The sequence below is a fragment of the Homo sapiens genome, chromosome X, assembly GCF_000001405.40.
Source record: "Homo sapiens chromosome X, GRCh38.p14 Primary Assembly".
Classification (NCBI taxonomy): domain Eukaryota; kingdom Metazoa; phylum Chordata; class Mammalia; order Primates; family Hominidae; genus Homo; species Homo sapiens.
Genome location: NC_000023.11, coordinates 77,870,452 through 77,895,788, shown reverse-complemented (window position 1 = coordinate 77,895,788; position 25,337 = coordinate 77,870,452). Strand labels below are relative to the sequence as shown.

General features: G+C 40.8%; 1 protein-coding gene and 1 pseudogene across 2 annotated transcripts in view, besides 1 other annotated feature; one reads left to right on the top strand and one right to left on the bottom strand.

Annotated features, from left to right (window-relative positions):
- Window positions 221–25,337, top strand: part of MAGT1 (magnesium transporter 1) — a 69,822-nt gene continuing 44,705 nt past the window's right edge. Inside the window, exons 1-3 of one of the 2 annotated variants that reach the window (NM_032121.5) lie at window positions 221–480; window positions 20,192–20,361; window positions 24,864–24,981. In NM_032121.5, coding sequence (NP_115497.4) covers window positions 283–480; window positions 20,192–20,361; window positions 24,864–24,981 — 486 coding nt within the window. In that variant the 5' untranslated portion in view covers window positions 221–282. The remainder of the gene's footprint in view (window positions 481–20,191; window positions 20,362–24,863; window positions 24,982–25,337) is intronic. The other variant, NM_001367916.1, reaches the window with a different exon arrangement.
- Window positions 358–607: an enhancer, noted in NCBI's record as "active region_29781". NCBI's record gives its function as "activates an Ori minimal core promoter by ATAC-STARR-seq in GM12878 lymphoblastoid cells {active_cell/tissue: GM12878}" and the evidence as "EXISTENCE:reporter gene assay evidence [ECO:0000049][PMID:35858748]".
- RN7SL460P (RNA, 7SL, cytoplasmic 460, pseudogene) lies at window positions 10,155–10,412 on the bottom strand (annotated as a pseudogene).

Below are 25,337 nucleotides of genomic sequence, written 5' to 3'. Positions count from 1 at the left end.
AAGATTCTGTTCTAGCAACTTCAAGCCATTTTGGACTCCGAAAACTCCGCAATATTTCACAACTGCGCATGCGTGCTTGGAAAGCGTCAGCGCGCTAGATGTTTACGTATCGAGAAAGGGGCGGGTCATTATCTTTAGCGGACCAATGAAAACGCTCCAGATTATCTTTTTTCTATTGGCCGACCGGGGCCAATTAGAAATCAACCTTCTTTTAGCGGGCGTGTAGCGCCAGCGCGCTGTGACGTAATGTGAGGGGTCTCCCGGCAGGGCTGAGCTGGACCAATGAGGAAAGGCAAGGGGCCGATTTGCCTGTTCTCACGCCCCACCCTCAGACCTAGCCGGAGCAAAGTTTCACTTATAGAAGGGAGAGGAGCGAACATGGCAGCGCGTTGGCGGTTTTGGTGTGTCTCTGTGACCATGGTGGTGGCGCTGCTCATCGTTTGCGACGTTCCCTCAGCCTCTGCCCAAAGAAAGAAGGAGGTGAGAACGCGGTTTCCAGCAGCATGGGCTTTTCCCAATGACTGGGGCTTAAGAGGGTCTGTTCGCCTCTTCCCAGCCCCCTTTCCCTGCCGCTTCTATGCCTTTGGTGGCTTCAATTACGCGGTTTTCGGAGTTGTGGAATTCGTGAGAGAAGGAACTGTAACTCTTTGTCTTCTGGGGATGTAGAATCTGAGAGTGGAGTAGCGTAGGTGACAGCCCGACTTCTACAGTCTTGTGAATGTGCATAGCTATGAGTTTTGACACTTTTGAGTGTGGGCCCCGTCAGGTGTTGGGGGTGGGGAGTTCGACTTTAGATCCCAGGAGTAGGATATCTGAGACTCTATACTGCTGGCCGATGTAACTCCCTGAATGATGTGTAAGAGTTCTCTATTTTCTAGCATTTTCATTTCAGGAGTGTGAGAGTTAGACCAAAGAGTGAAATTATGCCAGATTTATTACTTTGTCCAAATAATTGTTTCAAGGCAATTTACCAGATTGAAAGCTCCTAACCATTTTCAATCATTCCACAAATGTAAGCATGCTAGGCAATGTTCTAGGCACTTGATATACATAAATGAACAAAACTAAGATCTTGTGGAACTCATAGGCTTTAGGAAGTGGAGGAGATACAGTATTCTCACCATTAAGCAATCCAGGTAGAGGAATTTTAACAATGCGTTTTCAAACGTTTGTGATTTGGAGTCCTATACTCTTAGGACTTTAAGACTACTAGCAATTACTTATACCCTCTAATTTTATAGATGAGAAAAAGAGTCTTAAATTTAGAAAATGAACGAGGACTCAAACCCTACGTCAGTCATTCTAACTCTATTTCCTGTACATTCTGTGCTTCCTCTAATAGAGAAAAACTGTGCACATACTCTAAAAATACCAGTTAAGCACTTCAGATACTTGTCTACTTGAGCTGAATTAAGAAAGAAAGCTATCTTCTCTATGTTTCTAAGTATTTGAACTATTCCATAAGAAGAAAAACTAAGCTAGGAAGTTAAACTTAATGAGTTGCTTATTAGATTGGCAAAGAGTACAATAAAAATATACAATTGTCAAAAGTATCGTGAAGTGAGCAGGCTCAGACACTGAAACTAGAAATTGATGTCCTTCTTTGGGAGGATCCTAAGCTATGGTTATGTGGAAAAGAAGATGCAGAGCAATGCATAATTTTATGTCTTAGAAATTTTTTATGTTAAAAACAACAGCATCCCCTATATATAAGTATATGTGTATGTATAGAGAAATCTCTGTAAGGATACATGACAATACCTTAACAGTGGCTATCTCTAGGCAGTTGGGATTATCGATGAGGGGAACGTTTTCACGTTTTACTTTACATGCTGGTATTGCTGGTATTACCTGAATTTCCACGATGACCACTTTTTTTTTTTTTTGAGACCGGGTCTCGCTCTGTTGCCCAGGCTGGAGTTCAGTGGTGGGATCATGGCTCACTGCAGCCTCGACTTCCTGGGCTCTAGTGATCCTCTCACCTCCACCTCCACCTCCCGAATATCTAGGACTACCGGCATGTGCCACAATATCCCTGGCTACTTTTTTATCTTTTTGTAGAAACGGAGTCTCTCTGTGTTGACAGGCTAGTCTCAAACTCCTGGGCTCAAGTGTTGCTTCCGCCTTGGCCTCCCAAAGTGTTGGGATTACAGGTGTGAGCCACTGTGCCTAGTCCACTTATTCTTTTTAATTAAAAAGTGAAGGCTTTTTAAAACTTAGCATTTCTACCAGTGAAATTATATTTATTCATTGACTCTCTCACTGAACTGGAAGCACAACAGCCTAGCTGAAAATAGGTTTTGTTTTTTTTTTAAAGGAATCAGCACTGAATTGTATACTTTAAAATGGTCAATATGGTGAATTTTATGTTAAGGCAATAAATTACATGCCTTCCTTGATCTTTCTGTACTCTCTTGGAAGTACATTCACCCTTTTCATGCATGTACAAGACTTATGCGAGAATATCTTCCTTTTCTCTTACCCCACCCTTTCATTCACCTGAAGATTCCTACTCTTCAAGTCTTAGCTCAAACAGTATCTTCTTTCTTCCTCGGCTAAAGTTTTCTTGGTGCCTCCAGGTGAACTGAGATGAATTCAGCACAGCATATAGTCATTGTAGGTATGTATGTATTTATTTGGAGACAGGGCCTCTTACACAGGCTGCATGCTGTGCAATGGCACTATCATGACTCACTGCAGCCTCTACTTCCTGGGGTCAAGTGATCCTCCCACCTTGGCCTCCCAAAGTGCTGAGATTACAGGAGCGAGCCTCCATGCCTGACCTGTATTGTCCTTGTTTATATGCCAGTCTTTGCCCTAACACTGTAAGCATCTTGAATGCAAAAACTTCTTAATTTTTCTTTACCTCACATCCAGCATTTTCTGTCAAAATGTCCTCAACAAACATCAGATTAACTGTGTACTTATATAAAATCAGGAATCTGTTCTTTCTTTTTATAAATGTATATATATATTTAAAAAAATTTTTTTTCAGACAGGGTCTCACTCTGTTGCCAAGGCTGGAGTGTAGTGGCATGATCATAGCTCAGTACAGCCTTATGACCTCACTGGGCTCAGGTGATCCTCCCACCTAAGACTTCCCAGCTGGGACTACAGGCATGTGCCACCATGCCTAGTTAATTTTTATATTTTTTGTAGAAATGGGGTTTTGCTGTGTTGTCCAGGCTGGCCTTGAACTCCTGGACTCAAGTGATCTACCCACCTTGGCCTCCCAAAGTGCTGGGATTACAGGCATGAGCCACTGTGTTCAGCCGGGAATCTGTTCTTTCAGTTGTAGGTTTTCTTAGATTTCACAACATAAAATTGGATTTTCTCATCAGTAAGCATGGAATTTATATAGGCTGCTAAAGATGATTTAGTTTTTCCTCCTTCCCTCTCTGAGAATGGTTTAGGCTGTCTTTAAAAAGACTACTATGATACTCCTTAGACACAGTTTCAAAATATGGGTGTTCTGTTGCAGAACATTTTTTTGTCAATTTTTGAAAACATTATTTAAAAAAATTCCAGGTCTATCTACTATAATAAATTTGACTTTAAATAATAGGGTAATGTCTGATCTTAAAATCTATTTTTTGCTGGGTGCAGTGGCTCACGCCTGTAATCCCAGCACTTTGGGAGGCCGAGGCGGGTGGATCACTTGAGGTCAGGAGTTCAAGACCAGGCTGGCCAACTTGGGGAAACCCCGTCTCTACTAAAAATACAAAAAAAATTAGCCAGCCAGGGTGGCACATGCCTGTAGTCCCAGCTACTCAGGAGTCTGAGGCATGAGAATCGCTTGAACAAGAGAGCGAGACTCTGTCTCAAAAAAAAAAAAAGTGTGCATATATGTATATTCTTTTTAAAAGATACCTCCCCTAAATAAATATGATTAAAAATCACTCAAGTTCCTCATAGTTGTCTATTGCTAAATGGAATGCTACCCTGCTTATTATTTATACCTTTAACAATGTTTTCATTGGAACGTGGACTTATTTTTCTTTTTAAATTTTTAAAAATGTTTTGTGGAGACCGGGTCTCACTATGTTGACCAGGCTGGTTTCAAACTCCTGGCCTCCAGCAATCCTCCTGCTTTGACCTCCTAAAGTGACAGAATTACAGGCGTGAGCCACTGAGCCCAGCCATTTATTCTCTGATATTTATCGAATGCATTCTACATGCCAGGCACTATAGTTTACACTCATTATCTATAATACACACATTAACATTGCAGAGTAAGTATTAACCCCTTCGAAAGATAAGGGGACTTTAAAGATGAGGGGACTGGCCAGGCATGGTGGCTCATGCCTATAATCCCAGAACTTTGGGAGGCTGAGGTGGGAGGATCCCTTGAGGTGATGGGAGGATCCCTTGAGGCCAAGAGTTTGAGCCCAGCCTGAACAACATAGCCAGACTCATCTCTACCCACCCCAGATAGATAGATAGATAGATAGATAGATAGATAGATAGATAGATGAGGGAACTGACAGTAAGCAAGAGGGTGGTTGGGGGCTTGCTCATAGAAGCACAGCTCTAAGAAACTGAGCTGGGATCCCACACTGGTCTGTCTAGTTCCAAAGCCTATGTTTTGTGCTAGGCAACAAAGGCTTGTTTTTGCAGCGACTGGTTTTATTTTATGGTGAATCCTTTCCCCCTGTTGTGGAAGGGAAGTTGTTCATCCTCGCATCTGGTGTTATCTTAGAGAGGCAGCATGATAAAAATGAAGAAGCATGGTCTTTGATAAAATTATTCATATTTCTTTACTTCTGGGAATCTATAATAATAATAATAATATGAAATGTGGAAAGTGATGAACACGCAATGCATACTGAAGCATAATAAAAATGGTCATCATAATGCTAGGATGGCAGATAGATCTCCCTCCCCAGTTTTCCAAAAAAGTCTGTAGTTTTAAAGAGGATATGCTTTAATCCACCCCCAATGATGTTTAACAAGTTACTCTGAGTCTCATTTTCCTCATCAGTAGAATGGAAAAAATGCTGATTTCTTTGGCTATTGTGAAAATTAAATGAGATGAGGGATGTGAAGTACCTAATGCAGTACCTGGCATATAGAAGATGTTAAGTAAATGTTAGAAAATAAAGTGAGATTATATTCCTCTGGGTGGTAAATGTTTTGCAGTTGATCTTTTTGGGATGTTTAACAAGGCAGGCTATCATTGGAAAAACTTTGCTTTGAGAAATGACTCATGAAAGTATCACATGTGCAAAAAACCCTGCAGTTCTCTAGAAAATATCTGATTAGAGAAACAGGCTTAGTAGCAGTTGCAGAACAATTAAATGGAGACACCACCAAAAAATTAAAAACTAAGGAAAGGGGACAAGGATAGATTTTAGCTCTATCCAGGAAGTACGTGAACTGATAATGGAGCAGATGGCATTTAAGGATTAAAAATGCTCACTTCTCTGTTCACTGTCTTCTTCAGTAATTATCTGCCCGTTATATTTCCAGATCTGTTCCAGATCTCTTAATTTAAGGAGGGAGTTGGAAATGTATACCTTAACTAAGAATTTGTTTTGTTCTACTTCATACTAACATCTGAAGACTGGTAGATGATTAGGAAAGGTGAAAATATGAAGAATTTTTATGAATAAACCCTGATGGTTAGAACAAAGACACGAATAAGTTTTGGGAGTACTATTCAGCCATAAAAAAGAATGAGATCCTATCATTTGCAACAACATGGATGGAACTGGAAGTCGTTATGTTAAGTGAAATAAGCCGAGCACAGAAAGACAAACATTGCATATCCTCACTTACGTGTGGGAGCTAAAAATCAAAACACTTGAACTCATGGAGATAGTAGAATGATAGCTACCAGAAGCTGGGGGTGGTGGTGGGAGGTGGGGATTCTTTATGAGTACAAACAAAAAACAAAAAACATAATGAATAAGACCTACTGTTTGATAGCACAACGGAGTGACTATAGTCAATAATAATTTAATTGTAGATTTAAAAAATTAAGAGTATAATAGGATTGTTTGTAACACAAAGGATAAATGCTTGAGGAGATGGATATCTCGTTTTACATGATGTGATGAGTGCACATTGCATGCCTGTATCAAAACATCTCATGTACTTCATAAATATATACACCTAAGGCCGGGCACAGTGGCTCACACCTATAATCCTGGCACTTTGGGAGGCCGAGGCAGGCGGATCACGAGTTCAGGAGATCGAGACCATCCTGGCTAACACGGTGAAACCCCGTCTCTACTAAAAATACAAAAAATTAGCCGGGCGTGGTGGCGGGCGCCTGTAGTCCCAGCTACTCAGGAGGCTAAGGCAGGAGAATGGCGTGAACCCGGGAGGCAGAGCTTGCAGTGAGCCGAGATCGCCCCACTGCACTCCAGCCAGCCTGGGCGACAGAGTCATTCCATGTCAAAAAAAAAAATATATATATATATATGTACATATATATGTACACATACATACACACACACCTACTATGTACCCACAAAAATTTAAATTTAAATTTAAAAAAGAATGAGGCCAGGCGTGGTGGCTCACACCTGTAAGCCCAGCACTTTGGGAGGCCAAAGTGGGCAGATTGCTTGAGCCTAGGAGTTTGAGATCAGCCTGGGCAACATGGCAAAACCGTGTTCCTAGCAAAAAAAAAAAAAAAAAAAATAGCAGAGCATGGTGGTGTGTGCCTGTAGTCCCAGCTACTAGGGAGGCTGAGATGGGAGGATCACCTGAGCCTGGGAGGTACAGGCTGCAGTGAGCCAAGATGTACCATTGCACTCCAGCCTGGGTGACAGAGCCAGACCCTGTCCCAAAATAATAATAATAATAATAATATAATGTAGTTGTGTATTTTAAAATAATTAAAAGTATAATTGGATGGTTTGTAACACAAAGGATAAATTCTTGAGGGCATGGACACCTCATTCACCATGATGTGATTATTATGCAATGCATGCCTATATCAAAGTATCTCATGTACCCCATAAATATATATACCTACTGTGTACCCACAGAATTTTTTTTAAGAAACATGCTTTTGGGGAAAGTTGCATTTTAGAGGAATTCAGACTGGTAATACTTAGCTTTCTTGCTTCTGAAATTCAAAAGAAATTTGAATGGCAGGATCAGATTTTAGCTTTAAATCGTAATTAATAGATCCTATATTCCATTTTTGATGAGTGATAGTGACAATAGGACAATTTCTGGTTATTAAAGCTTAAGCTACTTTGGTAGAGCTAATCAAGTTAAATATTATGCAAGCAGGTAAGATGAAATTAAACTGATGTCTCACTGCCCTTTCTTGGTCCTCTTAATCTCTTATAGTTATAGATTTCTATAACACTTGATTATTACAAATAGGATTAGAGACATTGCCTTCTAGTAGTGAGGTGATTTTTTTTGGACATACTAGTTAAAATGTTTCAAGAGAAGAGAAAGACTTTAAACTTACTTTACTTTGTTGGTAAGTATTTCAATTGGGAGTATTATTGCTATTTTTGTTTTATTTGAATGGTAGAAAATAGACTAATGTACGCCAAGGAGAAGGAGGGAAATAAATTGATTGTGAATATCTTGTAAATTCAATGTGTTTTTTCATAGTAAGCCTGTAATTTGTTTTATAAAAAATATATCCAATACAAATTGAAAGCTTTAGATCAGTATATTTTCTTGAATGTTTAACAACTATTAGTGGAGGCCGGGCACAGTCGATCATGCCTGTAATCACAGCACTTTGGGAGGCCGAGTTGGATGGATCACCTGAGGTCAAGAGTTTGAGACCAGCCTGGCCAACATGGTGAAACCCTGTCTCTACTAAAAGTACAAAATTAGCTGGGCGTGGTGGTGCACGCCTGTAGTAGTCCCAGCTACCCAGGAGGCTGAGGCACGAGAATCACTTGAACCCGGGAAGCAGAAGTTGCAGTGAGCCAAGATCGTGCCACTGCACTCCAGCCTGGGTGGCAGAGCAAGACTCTGTCTCAAAAAAACTATTAGCGGGAAAAGTATTTGCATTAGGAGTTGTTTGCGAATTAATTGCTTTTTTGGAGTTGCTGAGCAGTTCACTTGATAAACCTCTTATCTTTACATGTTATAGTCTTTGGAAGATATGTTTCTTCCTAATAATTTTCAAGTATTATTAGAATGATCTGAAGTGCACAGGTGAAATTTTTAACTTTTCCATTTGAAGGTTGTGACTTTGGAAGATAAAGAAGAATCTGGAAAATGAATAGTGGGATTTAGTGTAGTGGCAATAGAGGAACAAAATTTTTATTTCTCAACCATGCCTTTCCATACCCAAATAATGGGCTCTTGACAAAGAACCAGAGGCACCCTTAGGAAAAAGCTTCTTTAGGAATAGAGATTTACCCTGATCAAGAAAGCTTTCAATTCAAATTTGAAGAAATTCCTGGCCACACATAGTGGCTCCCACTTGTAATCCCAACACTTTGGGAAGGCCAAAGTGGAAGGATTGCTTGAGCCTAGGAGTTTAAGACCAGCCTGCGCAACATAGCAAGACCCCATCTCTGCAAACAAATAAAAGAAAATAACCAAGCATGGTAGCATGCACCTGTGGTCCTAGCTACTCAGGAGGCTGAGGCAGGAGGATCATTTGAGCCCAGGAGTTCGAGGCTGCAGTGAGCTAACAATCATGCCACTGAACTCTAACCTGGGTAACAGAATGAGACCCTGTCTCTAAATTGAAACAAAAGAGAGAGAGAGAAAACAAGAAATTCCCTTATAAATCTATTAACTAAAGAAGACAAAAAAGAGGACCAGTGAAGGAAGTGTCTAGGAAGTATTAAGGCATTATATTTGAGTTAAGTAGAATATCACATTCTTCAACCGTTCCAGGAGGATCACGGGTTGGTTTATTATTAGAAATGGCATGCTTTTTCCTGTTATTCATCATTTGGTTCACTTAATGTTTATTTAATTTCCCTTTGCTGTCCATAGAAATTTATATAACATGTAGTCCTAACCCATAAGAATCAGAATGTAGAGCTGTGATTCTCAAACTTCAGTGTATATAAAGAATCACATGTGTAACATGTTAAAATTCAATATTCTTGGAATCTGCCCTGGACTTACTGAATCAAATGTACTGGGGGATGAAATCTAGAAATATGGATTTTGATTTTTGTTTTTTTTTTAGAGATGGAATCTAACTATGTTGCTCAGGCTGAAGTGTAGTGGCTATCACCAGGTGCAATCATAGTGCACTACAGCCTCAAATTTCTGGGCTCAAATGATCCTTCTACCTCAGCCTCCTGAGTAGCCGCAACTACAGGCCCATACCACTATGCCTGGCCAGAAGTCTGCATTTTTTTTTTAATTTTATAAAATACAGACAGAGTCTCACTATGTTGCCCAGGCCGGTCTTGAACTCCTGGGCTCAAGCGGCCTCCCAAAGTGCTGGGGTTACAGGCATGAGCCACTGTGCCCGGCCAAAGTCTGCATTTTTAACAAGCTCCTTTATACCAACCACACTTTGAGAAACACAGGTTTAAAAAGTTTATTATCCATTATGATAAAGGCTTGCTCTAGGAAGTTTTGGGTTACTTTATCACTAAATCTTTCTTTTATGTTGTATTTTGATCAGTAATGATTTTTAAAGATTTTTGAATACATAAAAATAAGATTGTAAAATTGTACATTCTTTTCAGTTCAAAACAGTTGTTCTTGAGCTAGGCATAGTGGTTTGAGCCTGTAATCCCAGCCACTCAGGAGGATGAGGGAGGAGTGTCTATTGGGGCCAGGAGTTTGAGACCAGCCTGAGCAACATAGCAAAACCCTATCTCTAAAAGAGATTTTTTTATTTTATTTTAGAGACGGAGTCTCGCTCTGTCACCCAAGTTTCAGTGCAGGGGCTCAATCTCGGCTCACTGCAACCTCTGCCTCCCGGGTTCAAGCGATTCTCCTGCCTCAGCCTCCCAAGAAGCTGGGATTACAGGCACGTGCTACCACACCTAGCTAATTTTTGTAATGTTAGTAGAGACAGGGTTTCACCATGTTGGTCAGGCTGGTCTTGAACTCCTGACCTCATGATCCGCCCACCTCGGCATCCCAAAGTGCTGGGATTACAGGCATGAGCTACTGCGCCCAACAAGAGTTTTTAAAAATTAGCTAGGCATGGTGGCGCATACTTGTAGTCCCAGTTATTTGGGAGGCTGAGATGGGAGGATCACTTAAGCCCAGGATTTTGAGGCTGCAGTGAGCTATGATCACGTCACTGCACTCCAATCTGGGTGACAAAGTGACACCCTGTCTCTCTTTTTTTTTTTTGAGACAGAGTCTCGCTCTGTCGCCCAGGCTGGAGTGCAGTGGCGTGATCTCAGCTCACTGCAAGCTCTGACTCCCGGGTTCACGCCATTATCCTGCCTCAGCCTCCCAAGAAGCTGGGATTACAGGCGCGCGCCACCACGCCTAGCTAATTTTTGTGTTGTTAGTAGAGACAGGGTTTCACCATGTTGGTCAGGCTGGTCTTGAACTCCTGACCTCATGATCCGCCCACCTCGGCATCCCAAAGTGCTGGGATTACAGGCATGAGCCACTGTGCCCAACAACTTTTAAAAATTAGCTAGGCATGGTGGCGCATACTTGTAGTCCCAGTTATTTGGGAGGCTGAGATGGGAGGATCACTTAAGCCCAGGATTTTGAGGCTGCAGTGAGCTATGATCACACCACTGCACTCCAGTCTGGGTGACAAAGTGACACCCTGTCTCTCTCTTTTTTTTTTTTTTTTTGAGATGGAGTCTCGCTGTGTCACCCAGGCTGAAGTGCAGTGGCATGATCTCGGCTCTCTGCAAGCTCCGACTCCCGGGTTCACGCCATTCTCCTGCCTCAGCCTCCCGAGTAGCTGGGACTACAGGCACCCGCCACCGCGCCCGGCTAATTTTAGTAGAGACGGGGTTTCACCATGGTCTCGATCTCCTCACCTCGTGATCCACCCGCCTCGGCCTCCTAGAGTGCTGGGATTACAGGCCTGAGCCACTGCGCCCGGCCTTTTTTTTTTTTTTAAGAACAATATTGTGGGATTGGGGGTGATTTTGCTCCCCAGGAGATATTTGGCAGTGTGTGGAGATATTTTTGGTTGTTGCAGCTGGGAGAGGAGGGTGCTACTGGCATGTAGTGAGTAGAAGCCAGGGTTGCTATTCAACATCCTACAGTGCACTGACAGGATCACTCCTCACAACAATGATCTGGCCTAAGACGTCGGTAGTGTTGCTTTTGAGAAACCCTGGTTTAGAATGATCATGGCCTGTTTGAGTTTCTACCTCAGTATCTTACTAACTGTGGCATTTTGGGCAAGTTGTTTAACCTCTCCAATCCTGTTTTCTCAACAGATAAGCAAATGTAAAAAGAGTACTTACCTTATAGTGTCGTTTTGAGGATTGAACTTAATTATATATTCTATAAAGCAAGAAGTAACTGCCTGACACCCGCTAGACATTCCAAATAGTAGCTATTATTTTCTCCATAAATCCAAGAGAGGCTTGCTTTAGAATATCTTAAAATATTACGTCATTGTGAATAAGGATTATAGCATCTAATTATAATGTTCCAGGCTATGTTCATGTAATTTTATTGTAAAAGTTTTTGTTTGTTTGTTTTTTAGACAGAGTCTCACTCAGTCACCCAGGCTGGAGTGCAGTGGTGCAGTCTCAGCTCACTGCAACCTCCACCTCCCAGGTTCAAGTGATTCTCGTGCCTCAGCCTCCTGAGTAGCTGGGACTACAGGCGTGTGCCACCACACCCAACTAATTTTTGTATTTTTAGTAGAGACGGGGTTTCACGATGTTGGCCAGGCTGTTCTCAAACTCCTGACATCAAGTGATCCATCCGACTTGACCTCCCAAAGCACTGAGATGACAGGTATGAGCCACCACTCCCAGCCTGTAAAAGTTTAAAACTAGTTCATTTGTTGTGATCTGTTTTCAATTCATTTTAAAGAAAATGAACCCAGTCGGGGCAAGGTGGTTCATGCCTGTAATCCCAGCACTTTGGGAGGGCAAGGATCATTTGAGCTCAGGAGTTTGAGACCAGCCTGGGCAACATGGCAAAACCCCGTCTCTACAAAAATTAGTGGGGCACGGTGGTGCACATCTGTAGTCCCAGCTATTCAGGAAGCCGAGGTGGGAGAATCACTAGAGCCTGGGAGGTTGAGGCTGCAGTTAGCCAAGTTCACACCACTGCACTCCAGCCTAGGCAACAGAGTGAGACCCTGTCACCAAAAAAAAAAAAAAAAAAAAAAGAAAATGAATTCAGGAAGTAATCTAATTGCCTCTGCATTAAGCAGCCTTTTGAAGTGATTTTGTTTTATAAGAGCCTGAAAAAAGATAATTCCTTTGAACTAGTTTCTTCTACTTGATAAATTATTTCGAGAAAGAATAGCCAGAAGTCTGGTCTTTCTAGTCTGTTAATAAACAGGAAGAGGAATAACATATATTATAATATATATTACAATAATTATTATACATGGTCTCGATCTCCTGACCTCGTGATCTGCCGGCAGATGGGATGACCCAGCCATCCCATTACTGGATATACACCCAAAGGAATATAAATCATGCTGCTATAAAGACACATGCACACGTATGTTTACTGCGGCACTACTCACAATAGCAAAGACTTGGAACCAACCCAAATGTCTAACAATGATAGCCTGGATTAATAATAATATATATTATAATATAATTATGTTATTATATTAATATAATACATATTATAATTATATTATATTATTATATTAATATAATATAAATTATATATAAATAACAAATATATAATTTATATATATAAATATATATAAATTATATATATAAATATATATTTATTAGAGACAGGGTATTGCTCTGTTGTCCCCGCTAGAGTTCAGTGATGTGTGATCGTAGCTCACTGCAGCCTCTAACTCCTGGGCTCAAGTGATCCTCCTGCCTCAGCCTCCTGAGTATCTGGGACTACAGGCACATGCCACCACATCCGACCAATTTTATAATATTTTGTAGTAACTGGGTCCCACTATGTTGACCAGGCTGGTCTCGAACTCCAGGGCTCAAGCAGTCCTCACTCCTCAGCCTCCCAAAGTGCAGGGATTACAGGCTTGAACCACCATGCCTGGCCATAAATTTTTTATGTAGACCTGCTTGAAAACGTTTATTCAAGAATTTTTGTGTAGGAAAACTCCACATATTGATAACTAATTCAAAGCACTTATATTTCTTTTGTTGGCATGATTATATATCTATATGGTTGAATAGAGATAGGAGGATGTAAAACTGTGTAAATACCTGTTACTGCTTCACACTTGTTTTTCTCAGCCCCATACAGAATATGTAGTCACCCTGAATAAAATAGTCAAATCATATTTGTATTTGCTGGTAACTGTCAAATTTAACTTGAAAATATGGCAAAATTAGATATACAATCATGTCATCTGCAAACAGGGACAATTTGACTTCCTCTTTTCCTAATTGAATACCCTTTCTTTCTTTCTCCTGCCTGATTGCCCTGGCCAGAACTTCCAACACTATGTTGAATAGGAGTGGTGAGTGAGGGCATCCCTGTCTTGTGCCAGTTTTCAAAGGGAATGCTTCCAGTTTTTGTACATTCAATATGATATTGGCTGTGGGTTTGTCATAAATAGCTCTTATTATTTTTAGATACGTCCCATCTATACCTAATTTATTGAGAGTTTTTAGCATGAAGTGCTGTTGAATTTTGTCAAAGGCCTTTTCTGCATCTATTGAGATAATCATGTGGTTTTTGTCTTTGGTTCTGTTTATATGCTGGATTACATTTATTGATTTGCGTATGTTGAAGCAGCCTTGAATCCCAGGGAAGAAGCCCACTTGATCATGGTGGATAAGCTTTTTGATGTGCTGCTGGATTTGGTTTGCCAGTATTTTATTGAGGATTTTTGCATTGATGTTCATCAGAGATATTGGTCTAAAATTGTGGAAGACAGTGTGGCAATTCCTCAGGGATCTAGAACTAGAAATACCATTTGACCCAGCCATCCCATTACTGGGTATATACCCAAAGGAATATAAATCATGCTGCTATAAAGACACATGCACACGTATGTTTATTTTGGCACTACTCACAATAGCAAAGACTTGGAACCAACCCAAATGTCTAACAATGATAGCCTGGATTAAGAAAATGTGGCACATATACACCATGGAATACTATGCAGCCATAAAAAATGATGAGTTCATGTCCTTTGTAGGGACATGGATGAAGCTGGAAACCATCATTCTCAGCAAACTATCGCAAGGACAAAAAACCTAACACCGCATGTTCTCACTCATAGGTGGGAATTGAACAGTGAGAACACCTGGACCCAGGAAGGGGAACATCACACACCGGGGCCTGTTGTGGGGTGGGGGGAGGGGGAGGGATAGCATTAGGTGATATACCTAATGTAAAAGACTAGTTAATGGGTGCAGCACACCACATGGCACATGTATACATATGTAACAAACCTGCACATTGTGCACAAGTACCCTAGAACTTAAAGTATAATAAATATCTATATATAAAAAAAACAAAATATGGCAAAAATTAATGATTGCTTCAAAATATAGATTGCATATTTTAAAATGTGAACCCATATTTTCTGTGCTCTGAGAATCATTAAAACGGTATCAAATAATAGCAATTCATTTTGTTGGAAAAACAATAAATTTGATCTGTGCAGTCTCAATTTAAATCAAATATTCTCTATCTTCCTCCTGGTTCATTCTCTCCCACAGCCTTTACCAACTACTTGTTTCATTGTTCCGCAGTCTTGTTAATTATTTGTTATAACCAATCTTTCCTTCTTTTTTTTTTTTTTTTTTTTTTTTGAGACAGATTCTCACTTTGTTGCCCAGGCTGGAGTACAGTGGTGCCATCTTGGCTCACTGCAACCTCGGCCTCCTGGGTTCAAGCGATTCTAGTGCCTCAGCCTCCCCGGTAGCTGGGACTACAGACATGTGCCACCACGCCCAGCTAACTTTTATATTTTTAGTAGAGATGAGGTTTTGCCATGTTAGCCAGGCTGGTCTCGAAGTCCTGACCTCAAGTGATCCACCCACTTCAGCCTCCCAAAGTGTTGGGATTACAGGCGTGAGCCACTGCACCTGGCCTGTTAACAACCAATCTTTCAAGAGTGTATATCTTTTTCTGTGGGTTTAGAGTGTGTTCGGTTTTTCGTGTGTGGCATATTCTTTTTGTGGCCCTTACCAGAATTTTTTCGTATTTGCTACAAAACTAATGTTTTTTTTGTTTTGTTTTGAGACTGAGTGTCGCTCTGTCACCCAGGCTGGAGTGCAGTGGTGCGGTCTCGGCTCACTGCAACTCCACCTCCCGGGTTCAAGCAATTCTCCTGCCTCAGCCTCCCGAGTAGCTGGGATTACAGGCACCCGCCATCACGCCCAGCTTATTTTTTGTATTTTTAGTAGAGACGGGGTTTCACCCTGTTGGCCAGGCTGGTCTTGAACTCCTGACCTCGTGATCTGCCCGCCTTGGCCTCCCAAAGTGCTGAGATTACAGGCGTGAGCCACCGCGCCTGGCCTACAAAACTAATTTTTATGCAGCTTTTTTCCATCATTCATAGAGATGTACTTGTGACATAAAATTGTGGTCAGTATTAGATGAATTCAGGTATGCTTAAAGGCAGACCAGGCTGGGCATGGTGGCTCATGCCTGTAATCCCAGCACTTTGGGAGGCTGAGGCGGGTGGATCATTTGAGGCCAGGAGTTCAAGACCAGCCTGGCCAACATGGTCAAACCCCGTCCCTACTAAAAACACAAAAATTAGCCGGGGGTGGTAGTGCGTTCCTGTAATCCCAGCTACTTTGGAGGCTGAGGCACGAGAATCACTTGAACCTGGGAGTCAGAGGTTGCAGTGAGCCCAGATCATGCCATCGCACTTCAGCCTGGGCATGACAGAGTGAGACTCTGTCTAAAAAAAAAAAAAAAAAAAAGGCAAATCATGCATTTTTAGAATCCATGTTACTTTCTAAAGTGAAAAAAAAAGTTTTGTTTCTATGTAAGTGTTTACGTGTGCAGTTAATCATTTCTTTCTTACATGTTAATGTAAGCAAGTCAGTCAATTCCCAGTTAAATTTCACTGATTATAAATTTAGTACACATTTACTGAGTGCCTACTGTATGGTAAAGAATTGTGGGTCTCTGTTCTCTTGTAGCTAATAGTCTAGAAAAGGAATCAAACGTCAAAGTGTCTTAAAATGGTAAGTGCTAGAATATAGGTAACGGGAAATATAACTGGTCAAATGGTTCTGAATGATGAACCACTGCATGATTTCCCAGCTTTTTCTATACATATCTCTATAAAGATGAGCAAAATCATAAATTAGCATTAACTCTACATTGAGATTTTTGTTTTCTTTGTTATCCCTTCCTGCCTTCTTACTACTCATGGCAAGGATTAAACATTGAGGGTGGGGCTGGACACAGTGATTCACGCCTGTAATCCCAGCACTTTGGGAGGCCGAGGCGAGCAGATCATGAGGTCAAGAGTTCCAGACCAGCCTGGCCAACATGGTGAAACCCCGTCTCTACTAAGAATTCAAAAATTAGCCAGGCGTGGTGGCGTGTGCCTGTAATCCCAGCTACTTGGGAGGCTGAGGCAGGAGAATTGCATGAACCCAGCAGGGGGAGGTTGCAGTGAGGTGAGATCGCACCACTGCACTCTAGTCTGGGTGACAGAGCAAGACTCCATCTCGAGAGAAAAAAGAAAAAGAAAACATTGAGAGTGAAGATGAGGGGAATGATAAATATGATGGCATTTAATTTCAAACTTAAATCCTGTCGACTAACCATGCTTCTCTTCCACTGCCTCATGATGATTAGCCAAAAAGGAACAAACTCTAGCTCTTTTTTGTGTGTAGACATAAATTTTCATTTCTATAGGACAAATGCCAAATAATGTGGTTGATGGGTTGTATGGTAAATGTATCTTTAGTTGCCAGATTTTTTTTTCTTTTTTTTTTTCTTTTTTTTTTTTTTGAGATAGAGTTTCACTCTTGTTGCCCAGGCTGGAGTGCAGTGGCACGATCTCGGCTCACTGCAGCCACCGCCTTCCCAGATTCAAGAGATTCTCCTGCCTCAGCCTCCTGAGTAGCTGGGATTACAGGCACCCGCCAACACACCCAGCTAATTTTTTTGTATTTTTAGTAGAGACGGGATTTTATCATGTTGGCCAGGCTGATCTCAAACTCCTGACCTCAGGTGATCTACCCATCTCGGCCTCCTAAAGTGCTGGGATTACAGCATGAGCCACTGCGCCTGGCTTTTTTTTTTTTCTTTTTTTCTTTTTTTTTTTTGGAGACAGAGTCTTACTCTGTCACCCAGGCTGGAATGCAGTGGCGTGATCTCAGCTCACTGCAACCTCTACCTCCTGAGTTCAAGTATTTCTCCTGCCTCAGCCTCCCAAGTACCTGGGATTACAGGCGTGCACCACCATGCCCGGCTAAATTTTTTTTTCTTTTTTTTTTTTTTTTTTTTTTTGCATCAGAGTTTTGCTCTTGTCGCCCAGACTGGAGTGCAATGATGTGATCTTGGCTCACTGCAACCTCCGTCTCCCGGGTTCAAGCGATTGTCATGCCTCAGCCTCCTGAGTACCTGGGATTACAGGCATGTGCCACCATGCCCAGCTAATTTTTGTATTTTTTTTTTTTAGTAGAGATGTGGTTTCAACATGCTAGCCAGGCTGGTCTTGAACTCCTGACCTCAAGCGATCCACCCGCCTCGGCCTCCCAAATTGCTGGGATTACAGGTGTGAGCCACTGCACCCACCCAGTTGCTTGATCTTTTAAGACTGCCAAACTGTTTTCCAAAGTGGCTGCACCATACTACATTCCCACCAGTGATGTATGAGAGATCTAGTTTCTCCACATCCTCACCAGCATTTGATATTGTCAGTATATTTTATTTTATTTTATTTTATTTTATTTTATTTTATTTTATTTTATTTTATTTTATTTTGAGACAGAGTCTCACTCTGTCGCCCACGTTGGAGCGCAGTGGCGTGATCTCGGCTCACCGCAACCTCCGCCTCCCAGGTTCAAGCGATTCTCCTGCCTCAGCCTCCCGAGTAGCTGGGATTACAGGCACCCACCACCATGCCTGGCTAATTTTTGTATTTTTATTAGAGACAGGGTTTCACCATGTTGGCCAGGCTGTTCTCGAACTCCTTACCTCAAGTGATCCACCCACCTTGGCCTCCCAAAGTGCTGGGATTACAGGTGTGAGCCACCGCACCCGGCCCAGAGAGTAAAATTTTTTATTTTATTTTATTTTTTTTTTTGAGACAGTGTCTCGCTGTGTCACCCAAGCTGGAGTGCAGTGGTATGATCTTGGCTCACTGCAATGTCTGCCTCCCAGTCTCAAGCAATTCTCATGCCTCAGCCTTCTGAGCAGCTGGGATTTTAGGCATGTGCCACCATACTCAGCTAATTTTGTATTTTTAGTAGAGACTGGGTTTCGCCATTTTGGCCAGGCTGGTCTCAAACTCCTAGCCTCAAGTGATCTGCCCACCTTGGCCTCCCAAAGTGCTGGGAGTAGAGGCATGAGCCACCACATCCGGCTGAATTTTGATGAGGTCCAGTATATCAATTTTTTTTTTTTATGGATCCTGCTTTTGTTGTCAGGCCTAAGAAACCTTTGCCTACCCTTAGCTTCTGAATATTTTCTCCTATTTATTTTCATAAAAGTTTTATAGTTTTACAGTTAAGTATATGATCTATTTTGTATTAGTTTCTTTTTTTTTTTTTTTTTTTTTTTTGAGATGGAGTTCCACTCCTGTTGCCCAGGCTGGAGTGCAATGGCACGATCTCGGCTCACTGCAACTTCTGCCTCCCAGGTTCAAGCGATTCTCCTGCCTCAGTCTCCCAAGTAGCTGGGATTACAGGCATGTGCCACCACCCCTGGCTAATTTTGTATTTTTGGTACAGACGGGGTTTCTCCATCTTGGTTAGGCTGGTTTCGAACTCCCAACCTCAGGTTATCCACCCGCCTCAGCCTCCAAAGTGCTGGGATTACAGGCGTGAGTCACCATGCCCGGCTGAGTTAGTTTTTATATAAGGTGTGAAGTTCATATTTTTGGCTATGGATGACCAATTGCTTCTGCACCATTTGTTGAAAAGGCTATTCTTCCTCCACTGAGTTGTTTTTGCACCTTTGTGCAAAATCATTTGACTACACTTGTATGGGTCTACTTCTGGGTTGTTTTTTTGTTCTGTTGTTCTGTGATACTATCCCTTCATCTGTACCACACTGTCTTAATTATTGTGGCTACATAGTAAACCTTAAAATTGAATAGAGTGATTCCTCCCACTTTACTCTTTATTTTCAAGATTTTCACTGTATGTTTTTTGAGAGAAGTAAAATTGTATATAAAACTGGCCATTGGTTTAACTCAACATTCTTTGGAATTTTTGGCAAATGAAAGGTTTTGTTATTTTTATCTTATTAGTAAATAATAAATAATTCTGTCTGGGTGCAATGGCTCATGACTGTAATGCCAACACTTGGGAGGCTGAGTTGGGAGGATCATGTGAGCCCAGGAGTTCAAGACTAGCCTGGGCAACATAGTAAAACCCCCGTCTCTACAAAAAAAAAAAAAAAAAAAAAATATATATATATATATATATATATATATATATAAAGGCCAGGTGTGGTGGCTCATGCCTGTAATCCCAGCACTGTCGGTAGCTGAGGCGGGCAGATTGCTTAAGCCCAGGAGTTCAAGACCTGCCTGGGCAACATGGAGAAGCCCCATCTCTACAAAAAATACAAAAATCAGCTGAGCATGGTGGAACACGTGTGTATTCCAAGCACTTGGGAGGCTGAGGTGGGAGGATCCCTTGAGGCCAGGAGGTCAAGGCTACAGTGAGCCCTCATTGTGCCACTGCACTGCAGTCTGGATGACAGAGCGAGACAGTGTCATTCATTCGTTTATTCATTCATTCATTCATTCATAATTAATTACATCAAAAGTGTAATGTCTGACAAAATATTATGAAATAATGTATTTTAAGAATAATTATCATCCAGCCCAACTACCAAATTTTGGCTTTAGGTCTCACATTTTCTGTATACCTCTGCTTGTTAGTATTGGTTTTAAGTAAGCTGCCTCATTAAAAGAACTTTAAATGCCAAGTTGAGTATATTAATAGCATGCTCACTTTGTCTTTTTTAGATGGTGTTATCTGAAAAGGTTAGTCAGCTGATGGAATGGACTAACAAAAGACCTGTAATAAGAATGAATGGAGACAAGTTCCGTCGCCTTGTGAAAGCCCCACCGAGAAATTACTCCGTTATCGTCATGTTCACTGCTCTCCAACTGCATAGACAGTGTGTCGTTTGCAAGTATGAACTCCAACTACGCTTTAAAATTAAATAACTCATATAACGTTAACCATTTCTCAATCCCAGAAGGGCCAAGTTAGTGCAGTAGGTACTTAAATAATGTGTATACCTTACTCAGGATGTCTATGGTAGCAATACTACTGCTCTTTTATAGTCAATTCTTGATTATCCGTATCAGTGGGGGAAGCATGGATAAATAATTGTGGTAGCCATCATAAAAGTAACTTAAAGATCAAACAGTCATCTTATAAATTAGTATCAACTTGGCGGGGCATGGGGGCTCATGCCTGTAATCCCAGCACTTTGGGAGGTCGAGGCAGGTGGATCATCTGAGGTCAGGAGTTCAAGACCAGCCCAGCCAACATGGTGAAACCCCATCTCTACTAAAAAAAAAAAAATACAAAAATTAGCTAGGCATTGTGGTGCATGCCTGCAGTCCCAGATATTTGGGAGGCTGAGGCAGAATAATCATTTGAACCCGGGAGGCAGAGGTTGCAGTGAGCCAAGCTTGCGCCACTGCACTCCAGCCTGGGCGACAGAGCGAGACTGTCTCAAAAAAAAAAAAAAATCAGTATCAACTTATGTAACTGTATGCCAGTAGCATTGATGTAGTATTTTTTTATTATTTGTAAGTGCTTTCAGCTTCATACTCTTGTATTGTCAAAATCCCAAAAGGTAGGTAAAGCAAATATCCTACTATTTTTGGAAGAAACAGGCTCCACAATTTTAACTGGTCTACCCAATGCTTAAGATGTTTACTAATGCAATAATGGTGGCTTCATCCAAGTTTGGAATTCAAGAAAACTGGTAATTTTCTTTTTTTTTTTTTTTTGAAACAAAGTCTCGCTCTGTCACCCAGGCTGGAGTGCAGTGGCGTGATCTTGACTCACTGCAGCCTCCACCTCCTGGGTTCAAGTGATTCTTCTGCCTCAGCCTCCCGAGTAGCTGATACTACAAGTGCACACCACCACGCCCAGCTAATTTTTGTATTTTTAGTAGAGACGGAGTTTCACCATGTTGGCCAGGATGGACTCGATCTTTTGACATCGTGATCAACCCACTTAAGCCTCCCAAAGTGCTGGGATTACAGGCGTGAGCCACCACACCCAGCTGGTAATGTTTTTTTTTTTTTAAAAAAAAGATGCAGCTGGGTGTGGTAGCTCATGTCTGTGATCTCAGCACTTTGGGAGGCTGAGATGGGAGGATCACTTGGGCCCAGGCATTGGAGACCAGCCTGGGCAACATAGTGAAACTTTGTATCTATAAAAATAAACAAAATTAGCTGGGTGTGGTGATGTGCCTGTAGTCCCAGCTACTCCAGAGGCTGAGGTGGGAGGATCACTTGATCCTGGGAGGTCGAAACTGCAGAAGGCTATAATCATCCCACTGCACTCCAGCCTGAGCAACAGACCAAGACCCTGTCTCAAAAACAAACAAAAAAAAAAGATGCATGGGATCTCATGTGAAATCTAAAAAAGTTGAACTCCTAGAAGCAGAGTAGAATGGTGGTTTTCAGAGTCTTAGGAGAGGATGTGGTGAAAGTGTACAAAGTTTTAGTTAGATGAGGGGGGTAAGTTCTGGTGATCTATTGCACAGCATGGTGACCATAGTTAATGTATTGTAGATTTTGAAATTGCTAAAAACATTTTAAATATTCTCACCACCAAAAAATAATAAATAGGTAAGGTGATGGGTATATTAATTATTATTTTTTTAATCCCAAAGATCCATGATTTAGCGATGTTTCTAATTTCCCAGTTGTTTTATAGTGATTGTAAACCTTGGAGATGGAGACTAATCTTGCTTAAGTTTTCATCAAACAATGGTTTCTTGATTTTATTTTATTGTTTCTTAATGATCTTAGGAGCAAAGATTGCTATTCTGTTAAATAAAAACACCATGAACAATTCAAAATGGTGGATACTAAAAAATAAAATAGCTTTTGCTTTTTAGTGTCTTTTTATTTATATTTTTAGATCAGTGTATCTGATCTGGTAATTAACTTTAAATAAAATGACAAAGCTACTGTATGAAGAATTAGTTTAGTAAAAACTTGGAGGTTCTCCAGATTCTGACAGCCTGATAGCCATGCAAAGGAATAGACAGCTTGTTTCAGAATGGTGTGTTCTGCCACCCCAAGCCTTGATAACTTTTCTTTAACGATTTTCTCCCTGGAGCTAGGGTATAGTCAAGGTATTTGGTTCCATAGTGCTTATTTTGTGGAGTATGTGCTGAATATAAATTAAAAATAAATAAAAGAAGAAAAAGGAATCGTAAGTAATAACTATGAATAAACTTGAAATCTAGAATTACTTCTAATTCCGTCAGTTCACTCAGTAGCAATCAAGAGTATACAAAAATAGCAGGGAACAAACACAAACTCCTTCATAATTCTCTATTAAATGCAAATTAATGGAATTCTTACTAACCTAAGTTTTTACTGGCATCTTATTTTCTATGAGACCAAATTTAATATTAACTCAAATTTTTCTACACTCATTCAACAAATAAAAATTAAACAACAGCAACATGAATTATACTGTAGTTGTGGTGCTGTTGGGATGAGAATTGTAAAATAGATAACCTACCCTTATCATCTGGTTAAGGAAATGAGTTACACATATGAAAATTTAGATGGCAATATAAGGCAATTTGTGATTAAGTACCAGATCAACTGTACATATAATAAATACTGTAAAATTTCAGGAAAGAAGGTTAATAGGAGTGATTTGGATTGGCCTGATGGAGGAAATAAGACTTGTGCTAGGGCTAGACAAATGGATAAGATGTTGATACAGGCAGGATATTCTGGTTAGAAGCATGATGTACACAAGGGTACAGGGATAGGAGTAAATAAAATATTGGGACTAAAGGTTACTGTTTGAGATTGATTAGTAGTAAGACTAGATAAAAACTAGATGTATTATTTGAAGCTATGTGATAAAGAACCTTCAATAACTAGTGAAAGAGATTAGAGAATGTATTCTGAAGGTAATAAGAAAGCAACAGTGATTTCTGAGAAGTGTTTCAGGAAAGTAGTAATTTAGGAAGATGGATGTATATTGCAGTGTAAGGATTGGAGGAGGGCCGGGCACGGTGGCTCACACCTGTAATCCCAGCACTTTGGGAGGCTGAGGCAGGCGGATCACCTGAGGACAGGATTTCAAGACCAGCCTGGCCAACATGGTGAAACCCTGTCTCTACTAAAAATACAAAAATTAGCTGGGCATGATGGTGGGCACCTGTAATCCCAGCTACTTAGGAGGCTGAGGCAGGAGAATTGCTTGAGACTGGGAGGCAGAGGTTGCAGTGAGCCAAGATGGAGCCACTGCACTCCAGCCTGGGCCACAGAGCGAGACTGTCTCAAAAAAAAAGAAGGATTGAAGGAGGAGAAACCAGAGTCAGTATTTTTAAATATCCTACTATTAGATAACAAAAATCTGACCTTAGATGATAGCAATAAAAATAGGAGGATATGGAGTGAAACTTTTATCGCAAATGAGAATTGACAGATCATGAGAACTGAAAGCATATGGGAGATATGGAAAAATTCAAAGATGACTTGAGGTTTCAATAATTTTTTTTTGAGATGGAGTCTTGCTGTGTCGCCCAGGCTGGAGTGCAGTGGTGTGATCTCGGCTCACTGCAATCTCCGCCTCCCGGATTCAAGCCATTCTCTTGCCTCAGCCTCCCGAGTAGCTGAGACTACAGGTGCCTGCCACCATGCCCGGTTAATTTTTGTATTTTTGGTAGAGATAGGGTTTCACCATATTGGCCAGGCTGGTCTCGAACTCCTGACCTTGTGATCCGCCTGCCTCAGCCTCCCAACGTGCTGGGATTACAGGCATGAGCCACTGCACCTGGCCTAATTTTTGTATTTTTAATAGAGACAGGGTTTTGCCATGTTGGCCAGGCTTGTCTTGAGCTCCTGACCTCAGGTGATCCACCCACCTCAGCCTCCCAAAGTGCTGGGATTACAGGTATGAGCTGGCCTCAATTAATTTCAATTCCTAGACTCTTCTTATCTTTCATCCTAATAATTTATCTGATTGTGTTATTTACCAAGTAGCTTTTGCACTTTAGATTTTTAAAAATGAATTAATATTGTATTTCTGCTTTCTTTAGGGAATACACTTCTGTCTTGTCTTTGAACTCTTAGAAGTAATTTAGGGTATGGAAAGTTATTGTAGAGGCGATTAGCTATATATTTCCAATGATTGTTGAAAGAGTTTTGGGATAAGAAACAGGCACAAAGTATGAAGCGGAGTCAGGTAATTACTACTTCTCATGAAATCCCTAACTTGGGATAAGGCTTCTCTTATGCCAAAACAAGATTTGTCTTAACCCTGTCAGCAGAGTCTGACCTACTTGTCAGTGTTTTTTATTATTTCTCCCATTGGAAAACCTGCTATTGCTTGCTTGGACCTGTTTTACTGATGATAAACGAGATTGCTTTCAAAAATTGTTTTATATGTTATCTTTACGAATCTCATTGCATCCAGGCAAGCTGATGAAGAATTCCAGATCCTGGCAAACTCCTGGCGATACTCCAGTGCATTCACCAACAGGATATTTTTTGCCATGGTGGATTTTGATGAAGGCTCTGATGTATTTCAGATGGTAAGATCTTTGGTTTATTCTGCTATATAAAAATAGGTAAAATATAGTGAAAGTGGAATATATTTTTTTCAGTGGCTATAAGACATTAAATGGGATTGCTCTTATGTAAGATCTAGAGTAGCAAACTAAAAGTTAAACTTGAGCTAACCATAAAATGTAGTTATCAATGCTAACCTACTAGAATATGGAAATTGAGTAGTATTTAAATAACATACATTTTTATTGTAGTAAAATATATAAAACAAACTTTATCATTTTAACCATTTTAAGTATATAATTTATTAAGGAATTTTTTAAATCACAGCACGAGTCCCACCATTATGTAATATTGAAGTCTTTAGTATAGCTATCTATAC